We start from the raw sequence: 18,802 nt of genomic DNA on the forward strand, positions 1-18,802 counted from the left end.
CCCACAGGGTCCTGCTCCAGGATCACCATGTGGGCAGTGAAGGTGCATTTGGGATGCAGAGGCAATGCATTGCTAACTGGCAATGTTGCAACAGGTTGTCTTCAGAGCTGCACTGTAAATTCCTCTGACACACGATGGTGTTCCAGAAATCCTCCCTGAACGTTGCTCCCCATTAACCATCTCTTAGGTGGATCTCGGCCTGTGCTCTGTGAAATTCAGGGCTGACATGGTGGTCAGGATTTGGCCAAGTCCTGAGGCCCCAGGATCTTTGCTACATGTGGAGAGGAGGCACACACCTTTGGGCTCTATGCTGACCTCCCTCCAAGAAGACTGTCACCCCTTGCCACAGAATGCACACTCTTCTTCCGGTCCCGTCCAGTTGGCCTGCATTCTGACGCTGCAGCTCTCACCTGCCCAGGGCACATTCCACCCCTGCCCGTTTCTCCCAGTCACTCCTGGGACAGTCAGCTTGCCTTCCGTTGCTCTGTAGAAATGCTGTCTGCCAACTCAGTCTCCACCACCTCCAGATCTTCACCTCATCTCCCTCCACATTTTTGGGAGCCACATGCCCCCTTTTCACCTAGCCGATCACCCAGCCGTAGGTTTTCTGTCATGACACTCCCTTGGCCTGTGTGTCCATTAGCATGGCTTTGTCACCTGGTGCAGCCACGTCCTCGTCCTCTCCTCATGCCTCATCCTCGCGCCTCTCCTTGCCATGGTGCCTCGTGTGGTGCAGCCCTCATTTTAGGGAGAGATGAAACAAGGGCTAGACCTTTGTGGACTGAATACCTCCTTGAGCATCTAGTTCCAAAACACACGAGGAGGGTTTTGGTTTATTTTGTTAGTGTTATTTATTATTTTTTTTTGGGGGGGGTGTATATTTCTTAAGAGATGGGTGTCTCACTATGTTACCCAGACAGGAGTGCAGTAGCTCTTCAGAAGCGTGGGCATAGCACACTGCAGCCTCCAACTCCTAGGCTCAGGTGATCCCGCCATAGCCTCCTGAGGAGCTTTTTTGTATTGTATTATCATTTTTCTTGCTTTCTTACTAATTTTGTCAACTATGAGGAAAGGAATTTTTTCTTTCCTAATAGAGATTTTATTGATACTTTGGAAGATCAATACAAAGCTGTTTCAATGTGTATCCTGTTGTTAATGTCCTTACAGAAAATCTAAAGAGCTGTGTCATTGGATTCTTTTCCAGGTACTCCAGCGACCTTCTAGCTGAAAACTTGGAGGCAAATTTTCCTTAAAAGGCCAGGAATTAGGATTTTTTGAAGTCTCAGCACCTTTGGGTGGTGGTTTCCATCTTTAGGAGCACGAGTCTGTCTCCGGGCGAAACTTCAGTGTAGATGCATGTTCTCAGGATATTTCACAACTTGCTGCCTTGCTGGATGGGTCACATTTCCTTCCCCAAGCGCCGGTACCTTCAGATGTTGACGAGCTGTCACATCAGAAGTCACAGTCACTCACCGTTATCAGCAACACTGCATACTCAAGTTTTCAGCCTTTCATAGCACATTAACAGAGAGATTAGGAAAACCGACTGCCACGACCAGAAGACTTTCAGGGTGCATGCCTCTCTGATAGGGAGAGCCAGGATCAAGGAGTCCTTTTCCTTCCGAAACAGTTCTACTAAAAAACAACCCATGGGCTCACACCTATAATACCAACACTTTGGGAGACCAAAGCAGGAGGTCAAGGTAGTAGGATTGCTTGAGGCCTGGAGATTGAGACCAGCCTGAGCAACATGCTGAGACCTCGTCTCTACAAAAAATAAAAATAAATAGGCCGGGCGCGGTGGCTCACGCCTGTAATCCCAGCACTTTGGGAGGCCGAGGCGGGCAGATCACGAGGTCAGGAGATCGAGACCATCCCGGCTAAAAAAAAAAACGGTGAAACCCCGTCTCTACTAAAAATACAAAAAATTAGCCGGGCGTAGTGGCGGGCGCCTGTAGTCCCAGCTACTTGGGAGGCTGAGGCAGGAGAATGGCGTGAACCCGGGAGGCGGAGCTTGCAGTGAGCCGAGATCCCGCCACTGCACTCCAGCCTGGGCGACAGAGCGAGACTCCGTCTCAAAAAATAAATAAATAAATAAAAATAAATAAATAAAAAATTAGCCAGGTGTGGTGACACATGCCTGTAGTCCCACCTTCTTGGGAGGCTGAGGCAGGAGGATCGCTTGAGCCTGGGAGTTCGAGGCTGCAGTGAGCTGTGATCGCACCACTGCACTCCAGCCTGTGCAACAGAGCGAGACCCAGTCTCAAAAACAAAAAGCAAACCTATGAGTATAAGTAATTTAAGCTGCTCAAGACATATTAAAGGCCTGACCATGACTGCAAATTGCCAGTCAGTATGCTTTGTGCTGTAGGATATGAAAACTGTCCACCCAGCCTAGCACCCAAGACAGTCAAAGCCTCTCATAAAATATATACCAAAAAACAACTAGCAAATGATTTCACCTCTTTTAAAAAAAGCATTTATGCTTAAAACATGGAATTAGGTGGGATTCTCTCCTTAAAAATGTTTACAGAACTACTAAAAAACTTGCATTTACAAAACAGTTGCTGAAAGTATTCCCCTGGCATATATGGGAAGGGAGACAGGGGCTGCTGAGCAGTGTATGATAGTAATCAGGTTTCTTTCCCTCCTGCTTCCTGGGAGCCTGGACTCTACTTGCATTTAGACTCCGCTTCCTGCAGGTCAATCTTCAGGTTCCTGCTGAGCCACTTCAGCCCATTTGCCCTTTGCTCCCCCTTTTCTCTTTTGTGCTTTTTTTCCCTAAGGATTTATCCTTTCCTGCTGCCTTTTTTTTTTTTTTTTTTTTTTTTGAGTTGGAGTCTCGCTGTGTTGCCCAGGCTGGAGTGCAGTGGCTCCATCTCGACTCACTGCAAGCTCTGCCTCCCAGGTTCACACTATTCTCCTGCCTCAGCCTCCCGAGTAGCTGGGACTACAGGTGCCCGCCACCACACCTGGATAATTTTTTGTATTTTTAGTAGAGACGGGGTTTCACCATGTTAGCCAGGATGGTCTCGATCTCCTGACCTCATGATTCGCCCACCTCACCCTCCCAAAGTGCTGAGATTACAAGCGTGAGCCACCGCGCCTGGCCTCCTGCTGCCTTTTTGGGCTTCATTTCCACTTCTGCAGAAGCAGGTTGAGCCGACAGCCTGGCGGACCTCTGGGCTGTGCCTTGGCCACCCCTGGGGCTGACCTGACCTTCCCCTTGGGCATCTTGGCGGTGCCTGGTGCCTGCTGCCCAAAAGCCTTATGAATCTGGATGCACCGCAACTCCCTTCCCTGCCCTGGCCTCTGGGACCACAGCAGGGGCCAGGAATTTTTTTTTTTTTTTTTTTTTTTTAAGTCTCAACACATTTGGGTGGGGATTTCCATCTTCTAGGGGCTTCCCTGTTATCGGAGCACAAGTCTGTCTCACAGAGAACCTTCAGTGTGGACAAGGTGTTCTCATTTATTTCCCAACGTGTCTCTTTCCTGGATGAGTCAGGTTTCCTTTCTGAAGACGCCGAGCTCAATAAATTAAGCAGACTGAGAGGTGACTTCAGTGCTTGTCCTCATCATGCAGATATTTTATCTCTGGAAAGCGAAGCATTGTTGAGGTGGTCAGAATTGATCAATTGCAGGTGTGACTCATAGCCCTTGAAATATGATATTGGACTTAAAAAAAAACTGCTTTCTCTCCTCTCATTTTGATTTCTGGTCACTGTGATTTTCCAAATCCCTCAAGCTGAAAACCCTGCGGCAGGTGACATGTCCAGATCTTCCTTCCCAGCCTCTGGAGTTGGTGCATTACTCCCGTGATTTTTCTCTGCCTCTTACCCCAGGAGTTCTGCAGAGATGTAGGGGTAGTGCCCATCAGGGTCGTTGTCCTTGTCGTTTTATTCTTATTGCCAAATAAATTCATTTGTGTGTGACTATAAGACGAGTCTTCCAGAAGCAGCTGCTGTAGTGATGAGTTCACTCCTCCACTGCCATGGCTGCCTTCGCTGGGCCCCCACTGCCTGCAGGACAGCGTCCAGATTCCCATTCCAGGGCGGGGTCCTCGTCTTCCCCCACTTCGGCCCTATCTTCAGACACTCCCCTGCACACACACTCATGCCTCAGGCCTCCTGCCTCCACGCCCTTCTTCACGGGGAAGCCTCTGCGGAAGGCCTTCCCAGCTTTTTCTAGTTGCCGTTTCTATTTGGAGGCCTTCTTATCTCCACCCGAGACAGAGGGTCACATCCCCCTCATGCTGCCACTGCAGGGACCCCATTCTTTTCAGCGTGAGCCTGCTCCCCCGCTGCACTCAGGATGCCCTTGCCCTTATGGGACTTCATTTGGATTGTCTCTTCAACGAAGTATCAACAACTTTGTTCCATAAAAGACTTTGATTAACTGTTTTTTTCCTGCTGTTCCTAGAGAAAACATTTCCATGAGAACAATGAGGCATTCTGCACGTTAGGAGACGTTGAACTCTAATCGGGGCCATAAGAGTGAGTTTCCACACAGAATATCAGTTAATAACTAAAACAACAGTATTTGCCCGGGTGTGTGGACTTGGTGCTTTGGGTCTGTGAGTGCCCATAGCATGGCACCTGGGCCGGCATCGTCATGGGTCGGGGATGATTGACTTCCTAGCTTTTTGTAGAGGGGCTTTTTGAGGTTAGAGCAAGTGAGAGCAAAGATTTTTCCTAAGTACTACAGGACAGAACTTCCTCATTTGTGGCTCTGGCACTCCACAGACATTAAGCGGCTGTCACTAATCGGTGCAGTGCCAAGTGCTTCCTTACCTTGTAGACCTGGGACTGTGACAAAATGAGCATCATTGTGATGCTATCACGCATGCGGCACCTTCCCTAAGGTGCCTAATTAAGCCTAATTAATTCTACTGAACTTGAGAAGTTCAGTGGGGCAAAGAGAATAGAATGGAGGTTTTCAAAGCTGCTGCTGCTTTTCTGACTACTTTTCCCCATAGCACCATAAACATGTAGAGGTACTTTATCTGGATAAGGAAGCCAGGGGAAAAAATGAAGACTTTTATCTCCCAAACCAAAACACATTTTTGCTGGGAAATATAGGTGGAGTGTGGTGGGGGAAGGCTGATGGATGTTGTGGAATGCGTCCTTCATATCTAGAGGGGAAGCTTTAGGAATCCTTGCAGATGAGAAGAAACAGCATCATGTTGTCCTTTGCAGTGAAGTCAGAGCAACTGACAGCCCTTTCTGAGAGTCCTTCAGGACTTGCTTACACACGTGCTTGTGGGAATGAGACACATTCCCACCGAAAACCCCACCCGGTCACCACTGAGTCAGACACAGAACTGTGTCACCCTGAAGAAGTGCTGCTTCAAAAGCTGTCCCAAGACCCTGCAAGCCATGAGTCTTTATGGTTTTGCCTAAAGATTTTCCTGTGATACTTAAATTCAAACATGTCATTGTGGAGAGAAGGACACAACTTCATTTATTTTTATTTTTATTTTTATTTTTATTTTTATTTTATTTATTTATTTATTTTTTTAGATGAAGTCTCACGCTGTCGCCCAGGCTGGAGTGCAGTGGCGCAATCTCAGCCCACTGCAACCTCCACCTTCCGGGTTCAAGCGACTCTCCTGACTCAGTCTCCTGGGTAGCTGGGATTACAGGAGCGTGCCACCAAGCCCAGCCAATTTTTGTATTTTTAGTAGAGATGGGGTTTCACCATCTTGGGCAGGTTGGTCTCGAACTCCTGACCTCGTGATCCACCCACCTCAGCCTCGCAAAGTGCTGGGATTACAAGCGTGAGCCACCGTGCCCAGCCTTTTATTTTTATTTTTTTGAGACAGGGTCTCGCTCTGTCACCCAGGCTAGAGTGGGTTGGCATGATAACGGCTCACTGCGGCCTCAACCCTCTGGGCTCAAGTGATCCTGCTGCCTTAGCTTCCCAAGTACCTGGGTGCCTCCTGAGTAGCTGGGTGCCACCATATCTGGCTAATTTTTTACCCTTTTTTTTTTTTTTTTTTTTTTTTTTTTTGTAGAGACAGGATTTCTTTTGTTATATTACCCAGGCTAGTCTCGAACTCCTGGAATCAAGCGATCCTTCCACATTGGCCTCCCAAAGTGGTGGGATTCCAGGCATGAGCCACTGCTCTCAGCCCTAGACACAATTTTAAAGTTCACTATATATCACTCTTATACTGGGTCAAAATAGTTTCCTTGATTTTATTTTAATTTTTTTAATTTTAATTTTTCAAGACAGAGTCTCACTTTGTCGCCCAGGCTGGAGTGCAGTGGCATGATATTGGCTCACTGTAACCTCCACCTCTCAGGAGCAAGCAATTCTCATGCCTCAGCTTCCCGAGTAGCTGGGATTACAGGCATGCGCCACCATGCCCAGCTAGTTTTTGTTTGTATTTTTAGTAGAGACAGGGTTTCACCATGTTGGCCACGCTGGTCTTGAACTCCTGACCTCAGGTAATCCGCCTGCCTTGGCCTCCCAAAGTGCTGGGATTACAGGCATGAGCCACCGCACCCAGCCCCTTGTTTTTAGATATTGAGGAATGCATAACTTTTTATTATGGTAAAATACACATAATATGAAACTTATCTTCTTAATAATTTTCAAGTGTACTGTTCAGTGATGTGTTAAGTACATTTACATTGTTGTCCAACCATCACCACTGTCCATTTTCAGAACTTGTCATCTTCCCAAACTGAACCTCTCTGCCTATTAAACACTAACTTGCCATTCCCTCCTCTCCCCAGCCCCTGGTAATCACCATTCCACTTTCTCTGTCTATCCTTTTGATGACTCAGGTACCTGAATTCAATCGTATAGTGTTTCTCCATTTTTGACTGGTTTATTTCACTTAGCATAATGTCCTCAAGGTTCATCCATGTTGTTGCCTGTGTCAGAGTTTCTCTCCTTTTTTAAGGCTGAATAATATTCCCATTATATGTGTATGTATATGCCATATTTTATTTATCCATTCACCTGTTGATTGACATTTGGGTTGTGTTCACCTAGAACTCATAATTGTTTAAAGGCAAAAACAAAATAAGGCTCTGTCCTTTGAAATTTATTTTTTATTGTTGTTGTTTTTTAATGCAAATTTATGAAAAAAGTATCAAGGTTTTTTGTTTTAATTTTTGTGAGTACGCAGTAGGTGTATCGATGTCCTTAGAAATTTGTGATGATAGAATTATACTTTGTAAATGTGCATTTTTGCTCATGTTTGTAACCCCAGCACTTTGCGAGGCCAAGGCAAGTGGATGGCTTGAGCTCAGGTGTTAGAGACCAGCTTGAGCAACATAGGGAGACCCCCATCTCTACAAAAAAAATAAAAACTAAAAATTAGCTGGGTGTGGTGGTGCATGCCTGTAGTACCAGCTATTCGGGAGACTGAGATGGGAGAATTGCTTGAGACCGGGAGGTGCAGGCTGTGGTGGGCCGTGATCACGCCATTACACTCCAGCTTGGATGACAGAATGTGACCCTGTCTCCAAAAACACAGTGCATTTTTGGACACTTCAAAATACAGGCTCAATTAGTTTTCTAAGCAGTTACTTCATCAGCATGTGACTGGTATTATTTTTCTCACAATTCTGTTACTTTAGTCAATATTTTTATGCTTTGCTTTACTACGTAAAATGTTGGATTCTTCCCCTTAGTAATTGTCTATGCTTTTCTCCAGACTCATTAAAGGTATAAATTAAATTCTGAGTTTTACACCATGTTTCCTTTGGCAGTGGAATTAAAATTGGGAAAAATCATCTATATTCATAGAGATTAATGGTGAAGTCTCTTAAATTAGATACATGTCTATAAATATATATTAATTGTTTTCTTTTGCTGCTTTACTCTGGAGCAAATTTTCCAAAATTGTAACGTGAAGTACAGTTTAGAGGAGAAACATCTACTATCAGAATGTACTTAAAGAGACCAATCTTTTCACCTCTTTGTAGTAAATTGGATGTTTACATTGTCATGAGGGTATCTCTCTTGGAAGAAAGAAATTATTCTTTATTCTGAGGTCAGTTATAGACAGTTTCAGCTAAAAATTATGAGGAACTGATTGGTTATGTCTAAAACTTTGAGTTGGGTTTTTGATACTTGACTTGTTTTGTATATTCGTGACTATAATTAATAGCATCTGCATGGCAGGTAAGCTATGTTATCCATTGTGAATACAAGGAAACGAGGAAAAAGAGACCAGAAGTCTTAGGGTCCGGAGTTGGCAGCCATGGATATAACACGTGGATAGAAAAACACTTCTGTGGTCTTTCAACAAGGTGGAATTCCCGACAGGCAAGAAAAGCCACTAAAGACCCGAAGGCTCCAAAACAAAAGACCAGCTCCAGGATGCCAAGATCTTCCTTGGAATCCCTGGACCCCCAGATGTCTGTAACTTGCCTCCTTATACACACCTCATTTTTACTGTCTTTCCCACCCTGCCTGGATACTCTTATTTGGTTCAGGGGGCAATAGAAATAAGCAAAGTCAGCCACATCAACACTTAGGCTTTCTAGCATCGAAATACAGATGTGCGGGCGTCATTCCAGCCACAGCACTTAGCAGTGACCTAGAGAAACAGATAGCGCCCTTCATCTCTGATCCATCCTCCTGAGGCACAGCCCTGGAAGAAGCCTTTCCTCTGTGAAGAAACCTGGGGGGAGGGTTGCTCCAGATCCCCAGCCTCCTGGCCGGCCCCTTGGTCTCCCTCTTGGGGCATGTCGAAACCCAGTCTCCCCCAGGTATCGCCTGCCTTTTGCTATCCCTTGGCTGTGTGTGCAACCTTAGTGGGTGGAAGCTTATTTACAGTCTGTAAAGACATCAGGATAAAATCGTCTAGAACTTTTGAAACCAGTTGGTGACTGAAAAAATTGCTGCATATTTTTGTTAGGAGTGCTTTTTAAAATTTGTTTATGGTATTGACTAGCAGTGAATAATTGCTTTATTCACAAAAGTTCACTTGTCCTCAGATCTAGGTGGAGATTTCAGGAAAATATGCAGCTTCAGAATTGAGGCATTGTAAGTTACTTAGCACCTAGCTTCTCCTGACCCCCCACCCCAAGAAGTAAGCTTGAATCCAAAACACTTAGCTTTTCAACTGCCAGAAGAATGGACGGCATTAGCTTCAGGCTCACTCTTGGAAGTTGTTCTTGGGTTAGCCATGACATGCAGCTGGCTAGCAGTGGATTCAAAGGCTGTATGCTGATGTGCTTGTAACCAGTGATTTCTTCTCACTGGTTTTCCTAGCAGTTTATAAAGCTTTTTGGTGTAAAACAGTTGGCAAACCATTTTTGGAACAAGCCCAGTAGTAAATATTTTTGGCTTTGTGGGCCAAGCTACTCAATTCTGCCCTGTAGCAATATGTAAACCAATGGGTGTGACTGTATTACACTAAAACTTTGGGTGGTGGGAGGGGGAAAGAAAGCTGGCTGGATTGGCTCACTGGCCACAGTGTGCCAGAAAATGGACAGATTAACTGGAATGAATTGCTGTTGAGTTCTACTTTACTGTATAGGAAAATCTAGGTTAATAAAAGTTACAGAATGTAGGCCGCGCACGGTGGCTCACGCCTCTAATCCCAGCACTCTGGGAGGCCGAGGCGGGTGGATCACGAGGTCAGAGGAGTTCAAGACCAGCCTGGCCAATGGGGTGAAACCCTGTCTCTACTAAAAATACAAAAATTAGCTGGACGTGGTAGCGTGTGCCTGTAATCCCAGCTACTCAGGAGGCTGAGGCAGGAGAATTGCTTGAACCAGGAGGCAGAGGTTGCAGTGAGCCGAGATCGCACCACTGCACTGCAGCCTGGGTGACAGAGCGAGACTCTGTCTCAAAAAAAAGAAAAAAGGGAAAAAAAGCTGTAGAATGGATGGCATTCAAGCTGTTACGGAGTCAGTCAATACACATTGGGAGGATACTGTGTTTAGCACTGAGTAGTGAATATCTTAACATACACGGCATGGTATAATAATCGGATTAGGGCTATGACAAAAAACAGATACGTGTTAGCAAGGATATGGAGAAATTGGAACCTTCATACACCGATGGTGGGAATGTAAAACGGTACAGCTGCTGTAGAAAACAGCCTGGAAGCTCCTCAGGTTGTTAAATGTAGTTATCATAGGGCGCAGCAGTTCCACTTTATAATAGCCAAAAGTAGACACTGATGAATAGATAAAATGCGGTCTGTCCATACAAGTGAATGTTACTCAACCATAAAAAGAAATGAAGTACTGCTACATGCTACAACGTAGATAAACTTAGAAAGCATCGTGCTAAGTGAGAGAAGCCAGACCCAAGAGGCCACATATTGTATTACTCCATTTATGTGAACTGTCTAGGACAGGCAAATTCATGGACACAGAAAGTACATTTGTGGTTGCCAGAGGCTGGAGGGATTGGAAACCGAGTAGTAATGAGCACAAGGTTTCTTTCGGGGTTAGGGGAAATGCCCTAATATTGATGGTGGTGATGGTTGTACAACTCTGAAAATACTAAAAGCCATGCTTTATTTGAGTGAATATATGGTATTTGAATTATATTTCTATAAAGCTATTACAAAAACAGTCTAGTTCCAGGATTAATGTATGAGAAATAATTAATAAGTAATTTAAAATGGTCAAAAATTATTGTCTGGTTAAAGGAGATCTAGAAAATGAATCAGTATCTTCAGGTCCCCTGTTTTCCATTGTGTGTGTTCTCAAGCTTTCCCATTCCCTGGATAAACAGGAGTCGTGTCCAGGGAAGGCAGGCCAGGGTGAGGGGTGTAGTGCATCCCTGATCCCCTGAGTGGTAATAAGGTCAGCCCCCAGGGCCCATTCCCGCCAAGTGTGAGGTATGTCTGCTGCGTTCCGAGGACCTGCTCTGCCTCAGGAATTGCTGCTCGTGGAAGGCTCATGGAACATGCTTCTCTGTTACAGATTGAAGAGGGCAGTAAAGCCGCGGCGGTCGACAAGTTACTGGCTGGAGATGAGATCGTCGGCATCAATGACATTGGTCTCTCAGGGTTTAGACAGGAAGCGATTTGCCTGGTGAAGGGGTCCCATAAGACCCTGAAGCTGGTCGTCAAAAGGTAAGATCTGAGCTTCCTCCCACATTTACCACGACACACAGGAATGAGTGGAACATCAAAGTGGGAAGCCAGTTGTCCTGCCCACATCACTACAGAGATCTCGATTGGGACATGCACTTAGAGTTATATGTCTCGGCCAAGCATGGGCCCGGCATCAAGAGTCTGAACGGTTCCTAATTTTATTACGACGATTTTTATAAATTTTAATGTATTAAGTGGATTTGAATACTCGTATCTTTCCTTTGTTTATATGTAGATTATTTTCTTGGCAGGCAGAAAACGGTGCTTATGCTCCCAGTGAGGTGACATGTTGTTGCCTGTCTTGTACACAAGGTGGCAGGCCACTGCGCTTTCTGTTTTCATGCTAGAAAGAGAGTGACTGTCACGAAGATGCCAGCCACCAAGGGTTTAGAGCACTGTGCTGAGGTCTGGAGGGAGGGTCTGGAGGGAGCTGTCTGTCTATTCCTGTACATTACGTGTCAGTTGGAGCTTGGATGGTTTTAAGAGGTTAGAAAGTGAACTTGGGGACATGATGCTTTTATATACAGGAACTAAAGCAATACTCCAGGTACCACAAGAGTGTTGGTGATATGTCGCTTTCAAAGAGAAATAACTCTCCACCTTGGTTTTAAAGTTGGCTTATTAACAGGCAAGTGCTTACACATCCCTCTTGACAAAATTAGCATGTTCTTTTGAAGGCTGGCTGTAAATTTTAATTAATTGACCCACATTTATTTCCATTTTTAGTACAGACATGAAGATATCTTCCTTGTTTTGAAAAAACAAAAATTTTTTTTTCAAGTCTGGTCAAGTGAAGTAGTGTGCGTGGAGAGGAACAAAGAAATCTGTAACTGGTTGTGACTAATTATTTGTAAACACCGCTGCACTCAAACCAGCCAAGACAAATTCCTAAAGGCTTTTTTGAAGTGGGGGTGGGTGGAGATGCCAAAACAGTATCCAAAGAAAAGATTCAGAAATGAGGAAGGGCCAGACGTGCTGGCTCACACCTGTAATCCCAGCACTTTGGGAAGCCGAAGCGGGAGGATCACTTGAGCCCAGGAGTTCAATCGAGACCAGCCTGGGCAACATAGTGGGACCCCATCTCTCTCTCAAAAAATTTTTTTTTAATTAGCTGGGCATGATGATGCACACCTGTGGTCCCAGTTACTCGAGAGGTTGATATGGGAGGATTCTTTGAGCCTGGGAGGTCGAGGCTACAACGAGCCATGATTGTGCCACTGTATTCCAGGCTGGGTGACAGAGCAAGACCCTGTCTCAAAAAAAAAAAAAAAAAAAAAAAAAAAAAAGGGGAGGAAGGAAAAACATTTTTTGCCTCATGAATTTAGCAAAGTCAATTGTAAGTGGTACATGCTATTCCTGAGCACCCTTTTAACAACTCTTTGTAGATCAGAAAGTAAAATCTCAGAATGGTGGTTTCTGAGCCATTGGGGAGGGTGGGGCACAAGAGGCACCATGACACTGTGTTATGGTTCCTCTGTGATCACCGTCTTAACCCTCCTATAGCAGCACGTTTGTTCTTACACGATTCAGTTAACTTAGTGGAATGCCGGTGGTGGTGAGGGAAGCTTGTTCTGCAGAGGTAAGACGAGGAGTTATAAATTGGCTCTGGGGGTCATCATCCCGCTGCCAAGGCTGACTGCAACTCCCTTTTCTTCTGTCTCCTGTACTGTCTCGTTCTGGGCTCCCAGAGACCCCAAAAACACTGGGCTGTGCTTGTGGTCTTACTGTGTGTCTCTTCTTTGATGGAGACACCAGCTTAGTCAGCATAGCTGGCCAACTTTGTATCACCAGGGCATAGCTATGCGTAGAAATTCCTAGCATGGGAGTTCCTGAGTCGGAAGGTGTGTCCGTTGTGAATGTTCAGAGACATTTCTGAGTTTCTCAGACCCTTTCACATCATCTCTAGCATAGGATATTTGTAGTTTGTTTGTTTGTATTCTCTGAATGTGATAGGTGAAATATGGTTTTCTATTTACATTTGCATTTCCGTAGTTATGGGAGTGAAGTCAGGTATCATTCCATATGTTTAGAAGCAAGGTAGATGTGATTCTTTTTTTGAGCTAGAAGTACATATTTAGTGATAAAGATAGACAGTCTAAAATCTGTTCAAAGGAAAGCCATGCCACAGGAGAACTGGTTGGTGGGAGGAGAGAGCGAAGCCTCAGGGCATCTGCTGGCTGGTTTCACTGAGTAGGTACTTAAAAGACTCTTGGGAAAAGGGATTAAACTTTTGCCCTGAAGGATCTCCAGGAGCCACTGTGTAGAATCCCCATTTTGTGTTCTGCAGACCCACTTTCCTTTAAATGAGAGATGTGGACAAAATGATAATGTGGTTTAAATAGAATTTTATTTAAGTAGTATGTGTAACGAGATATAAAGCAGCGGAGTTTATTTACAAATTTTTATTTCCCAACACACTTTCAATAACCGTGTTAGGAAAAAACCCACAAGCTGTTTTTCCTCTGCTCTCACACAACACTCAACACAGAAGACTTCTGTGACCAAATGTGCATAGAACTTCTAATACTCCAACTACCTTTATGTGGTTTTCCTTACTACAAAAGCACCAATGGGTGCTTTCAAAATTGTTCTTCTTAAAGCCAGAACACGTATTCTTCTCTATCTAAATTTAAATCTCTATTTAAATCTCCCCGCCCTCCTCTTTCTCCATTCCTAGGCAACCACTAATCTGCCTTCTGTCTCTATGGATTAGGTAGCATTTTCTGGCATTTTATGTAGAGCTCCAGGATGGAGCATGTACCCTTACAAGTGGCTAGTTCATGAAAGGAACTCTGCAGGTAGTTCATAGATTGAGACACCAACATATTCATATTCTATATTGCTCTGCTTAAAAGCGTGATCAAATGGTAAACTAGCTTGCCCAAGCCTTGTTTGACTTGTTGCAATTGTCTGCCCCCATCTGCAAAAATGTGATGAGGGAAAGAGGTATATACATCTCTGTGTAAAGCACAGGAATCCGTGGTTTTTTGTTTGTTAAAGACAGGTTCCTGCTCTTTTGCCTAGGCTGGAGTGCAGTGGTGCGATCATAGCTCACTGCAGCCTCGAACTCTTGGGCTCAAGCGATCTTCCCAAAGTGCTGGAATTACAGGCGTGAGCCGTCGCACCTGGCCTCTCCATGGTTTTTTAAACATGATTTGAATAGTGGTTCACGGATAAACTCCCCTCCCTGTAGTGACAGCTGCTACACGTCTTATTTTGTAGGCTCATTTTATCTTTGTATGTGTGGGGACCAGGGGACCAGGCAGCCAGGATAGGATTGCGATGGGCCACTTTCACAAAGCGGTGGCATCTTGTTTCACAGGCATGGGCAACGTGGACCTTGTGGTCGTTGAGAAGCTGGTGCTGGGAAAGCGATGCGGGAGGAGACAGGCGGATCACTATCTCCGCAGACAAATGAGGGCCAGCGCTTCCTCTCGCCCAGGGCAGTGGGAGCTGGAGACAAAGAACTTGTAACAATCAGCCCTACCAAGTGCATGTATGTTCTTCCTTGTGAGGTCCAGGTGGCATCCACGGCCCGAGATGTCAGGGGAGGGGTGCTGCCCAGGAGTCAGATCTGTCGGTTAGGTCAGGAGGAGAGGCTGAGGCTGGCAGTTTTGCTTTTCTCTTTCTTCCCAGGCGGTTTGTTGTTCTGTCTCTACTTGGCAGGGGAGTGCTCCTTGCAGGAAAGTTCAGGGCAGACATGTAGCCTTTTATTATGTGTATGTGTGTGTCCAGTTTTTTTCCACTGCACTGTTTTCCTAGGTGCCCAGGCCCACCCCTGGAGAGTCCTGGGCAGGTCTTGAATGGATCTGGGCTCTGGAATCTTCACACAGAGCCACAGGCTATTTCGCTGGGCATTAGCAGCGGATCTACCGCTTGCTGGCCTTAAGCACAAGTTCTTGGGAAGGTTAAGGCCAGAAACCGGGTGACCCTTTGGCATTTTCCTCATTAACTTAGCCCAGTTGGGTTAGTGCAAAAGGGAGGTCTGCCTGATGCCCTCAAGCTGCTCCGGAGGAGAGGAAGCAGGGTTGGGAGGGTGGGGAAGGACCGAGAAGGGGACGGCAGCTCCTAGCTTAGCTGGGCTCATCCTATCCACTCGGTGCCAGGGACCGTGGCTGTTGCCTGTTGCTGTCTTCTCTCTGAAATCTGCGTTAACAGCTCTAGGGACAGAGTCATCCATTTTTCTCCCTTCAGAGGCAAATGGCTGTTAAGTTCAGCTTCTAAAAAGCACCTGTAATTTCAAACACCCTAGGGAAAATTTCTTTTAAATATCACATCATAAATTATTTTCTAAAGCTTTGCAATTACCCTTTTGGCTTTTTCCCCAAATATGCATTATAATATTAGTTTTGTTTACAGCAAATCCACCTGCCACCTTGTCACAGACCCCACTCTGGGCAGTTTCTCTTGAACCGGTCATGTGTTGCGAGTCATTTTGTGGGGGCCAAATCGTGGATAGGGTTGATTCATGTCACTTCCTGCCTCTTTGCTGGCAGCCCTAAACCCTCTTGTGAATCTAATTACATCCACTAAGCTTGCATTCAGGAGCAGCTTAGCAGCAGAGGGAAGGGTTTTCTGCATCAGGCTGCAAGGGTTTGCGAGACCATGTGGTGTGGTCCTGCATTTGAAGAGAAGAGGCTGCATGTCGAGGGAGAGCACTCATGTTTGCTAGGAGCTGGTTTCTTACAACATGCGTCCCGTCTTGGGCATTGCTAAGGTGCCCTGACTGCTGCTCCAAGCCCACATTGTGCTGTGCCCCCCTCTGCTGCTGGCTCCTTGGAGCTGTCCTGGAGCAGGTGGCCCTGCAGCCCTAAGGTTGATTAGCACAGATGTTCCGGGAGCTGCTACTCGCAACGGTGGCAGCAGTAAGGGGCCGCCTAAGACGTCAGCAGGTTTACACCCCCACCCCACTCCCCCAGCACCCCACCCCCTCCAGAACTACTCCTGAGGCAGAAATGGTGCATGGTCAGATGGAGGGCATGCTCCTTAGTGGGGACACTGGAGGACGTCAGGTGAAACCCATGCCTTCGAGGCTGTCTGATGTCTTTGTCTGTGATTCAGGAGTGGGTATTTCTATTCTGTGAGCATTTGGGGTCTAATGGCTGTTTGCTACTGTGCTTATTTTCTTGTTAAAACAAAGGAGACCCTGACTGGTTTAGGCTATTTTCCATTATTGTTTTTATTTCATTTATTTATTTTATTATGAGTGAAGGAAAGAAAGGAGAGAGGGAGGGAGGGAGGATGGGAAGGAAGGAAGGATGAAATCTTGCTCTGTTGCCCAGGCTGGAGTGCGGTGGCTACTGACAGGCACAATCATAGCTCACTGCAGCCTCAAACTCCTGGGCTCAAGTGATCCTCTTGCCTCAGCCTACTGAGTAGCTGGGACTACAGGTGCATGCCACCATGCCCAGCTTATTGTTTTTATTTTTTTTTATTTAATTTTATTTTTTCTATTTTTTTGAGACAGAGTCTCCTTCTGTTGCTGGAGTGCAGTGGCAAGATCTCGGCTCACTGCAACCTTCGCCACCCGGGTTCAAGCGATTCTCGTGCCTCAGCCTCCCCAGTAGCTGGGACTACAGGCGTGTGCCACCACACCTGGCTAATTTTTGTATTTTTAGTAGGGATGGGGTTGCGCCATGTTGGCCAGGCTGGTCTTGAACTCCTGGCCTCAAGAAATCTGCCCCACTTGGCCTGCCAAAGTGCTGGGATTACAGGCGTGAGCCACTGCACCCGGCCAGCTTATTGTTTTTATTAAGTAAAATCAGGAGAAAAAAGAAAACCACATAGATCAGAATTGTTTTATTTTGGGGAAAGTTACTTCTATTGGGGTTTTGCCTTAGTGTGTGGTTTAGCTAATTTAATCAGATGAATCAATGTTTGCAAATAGTGATGGTTTCTAATATAGTAAGACTTACAGAGAATGTTTAGCTTATTTTTGTGTTGTTTTGGGGTCTCTGGAGGACCTGTATGTGCTATGCAGTGGGATCCACACTGTACAGGTTAAGTTTATTTTGAGGTTCAAGGAATTGAGAAGTTAGCATTAGCCTTAACGATGAAGTTTAAATGACTTTTATTTTTTTATCGGTTCCACAAATGATGTAGACTTTTATTTTTTAAAACAGAGCAGCTGTAATGAGATCCACCAAATTGAAAGCCCTGAGCTTTAGGAGAAAAGGTTGATCTACACTGGTTGAATTCCCAGTTTGCTATTGGCTTGGAAAGAAGAGTGTTCTGGTGAGATTTTGAGAGCAGACTCTGGGAATGTCCTCTCTTGAGACTTGAGGGCGCAGGGATCTGGGGACAGGTCTTGGTGTCTGTCATCTGGGAGGTAGTGTCCTGCGAGAGGCAGCAGCCCAGCAGACACCAAGGGCCCCTGGGATCACGTGCTGACCTCTTAGTGGGCTTAGCAGGGCAGGAGGCCCACATGTGGCTTCTGTCCAGTGTGCCACTCGCCCTTGCAGTCACCCCTAAAGGACAGGTAGATGAGGCCTTTGCAGGTCGAGACGTCCCCAAAGGCTCTGTCTGTCCCACATGGAGCACACTGAGCGGGTCCCCTCTCTGTCCATCCCGTCCTTGGCTGTGGTGGCACTGGCACGCTGTGGCATGCTCTGCCCTGCACTGGCCGCTTTGTCCAGATGGAGACAAACGTGCTTTCAGTGTGTTGCCAAGGGGCAGGGAGAGGTGATATTGGCAGAGCCATGAGCGATGGCTGCCCGGCAGGTCATAAAGGCGGAGTAAATGTCGCCTCTTCTTAGAACTGTCACCTCAAGCCCGGTTACCACTAACACCCATTGGTTCCAAGGTGGGAGAGTTTGGGGGAAGAAATGAAGTACCCGACACAGCCTTGGCCCTTTCTACAAAGTGAGGGGCATACCTTATCTGTAACAAAAGCCTGTTTTTTTTGTTGTTGTTGTTTGTTTGTTTTAATGTCACTTGCTAATTTATTCACACAAAGAAAATGCTCCATAATGAAAACAACTTCATCCCATGTCTCCCTCCCACCCACACACACTCAAACCCCTCCTGTCCCCAACTGCAAGATGCGTTCCTACGTCTTGGCTATCTGAAGGTACTTTTAGAACCAAATCCTCATAAAAACCATTTAGAATAGTTGCCTGATAACTTGGTTTTATTGTTAAAGAAAGCCTGTTTGTGGCAGTTAGAGTCCAAAGGCCTTTGGAATGGAATGGAGTGGCATGTTTAAGGAGAGTGCTCAGAAGGCTTTGCTGAATGGTAGTCATGACAGCATTGATGGGGAGGTGAAGTGGGCTGATTAAATAACTCGAGTAGTTCCGACGTCCAGACCATGTTTTGGTAAGGTAGCCAGCGTCATGGACAGGGCAGGTAGCAACAGTTCTCTGCACCACGGAGGGTAGTTGTACCATTTACTCTGCTGGTTGTGGGTGTGCTTGCCTTTAATAGTACGGAAAGCAAGGTCATTGGTCTGCAGTTATAGTAAATGACAAAGAAGAGGAAGGAATCAGATCTTTCTTCAGTGATTTCACTACTTTGATTTGCCAACTATGACATGGTGGTTTATTAAATGTAAAGACACAGAGGAATGTTCTCTGGCTCAATGCCCTTGCAAAGAAAAGGATGCCTGCCACCCTCTCGGTGAGATGATAAGTGATCAAATAAGGGAAGATTTTTATCAGCCATTCGGCATATGTCGATCCCATGTGAGTGGACGTCTGGCTTACCATAGTGACCACATGTGCAGTGGTA

At 45.8% G+C, this 18,802-nt stretch overlaps 1 protein-coding gene and 1 pseudogene across 2 annotated transcripts in view, besides 2 other annotated features; one reads left to right on the top strand and one right to left on the bottom strand.

Annotated features, from left to right (window-relative positions):
* Window positions 1–18,802, top strand: part of SHROOM2 (shroom family member 2) — a 163,015-nt gene that overhangs the window by 76,319 nt on the left and 67,894 nt on the right. For both annotated transcript variants that reach the window (NM_001649.4, XM_005274500.5), the window contains exon 2: window positions 10,905–11,056. In NM_001649.4, coding sequence (NP_001640.1) covers window positions 10,905–11,056 — 152 coding nt within the window. The remainder of the gene's footprint in view (window positions 1–10,904; window positions 11,057–18,802) is intronic.
* HMGN1P33 (high mobility group nucleosome binding domain 1 pseudogene 33) lies at window positions 2,346–2,796 on the bottom strand (annotated as a pseudogene).
* Window positions 2,675–3,641: an enhancer, noted in NCBI's record as "H3K4me1 hESC enhancer chrX:9833462-9834428 (GRCh37/hg19 assembly coordinates)". NCBI's record gives its function as "activates a minimal SCP1, AML or CMV promoter by ChIP-STARR-seq in naive H9 embryonic stem cells {active_cell/tissue: H9 hESC(naive)}" and the evidence as "EXISTENCE:reporter gene assay evidence [ECO:0000049][PMID:30033119]".
* Window positions 3,642–4,607: an enhancer, noted in NCBI's record as "H3K4me1 hESC enhancer chrX:9834429-9835394 (GRCh37/hg19 assembly coordinates)". NCBI's record gives its function as "activates a minimal SCP1, AML or CMV promoter by ChIP-STARR-seq in primed H9 embryonic stem cells {active_cell/tissue: H9 hESC(primed)}" and the evidence as "EXISTENCE:reporter gene assay evidence [ECO:0000049][PMID:30033119]".

Source organism: Homo sapiens, chromosome X, assembly GCF_000001405.40.
Source record: "Homo sapiens chromosome X, GRCh38.p14 Primary Assembly".
NCBI classification, from domain to species: Eukaryota; Metazoa; Chordata; class Mammalia; order Primates; family Hominidae; genus Homo; species Homo sapiens.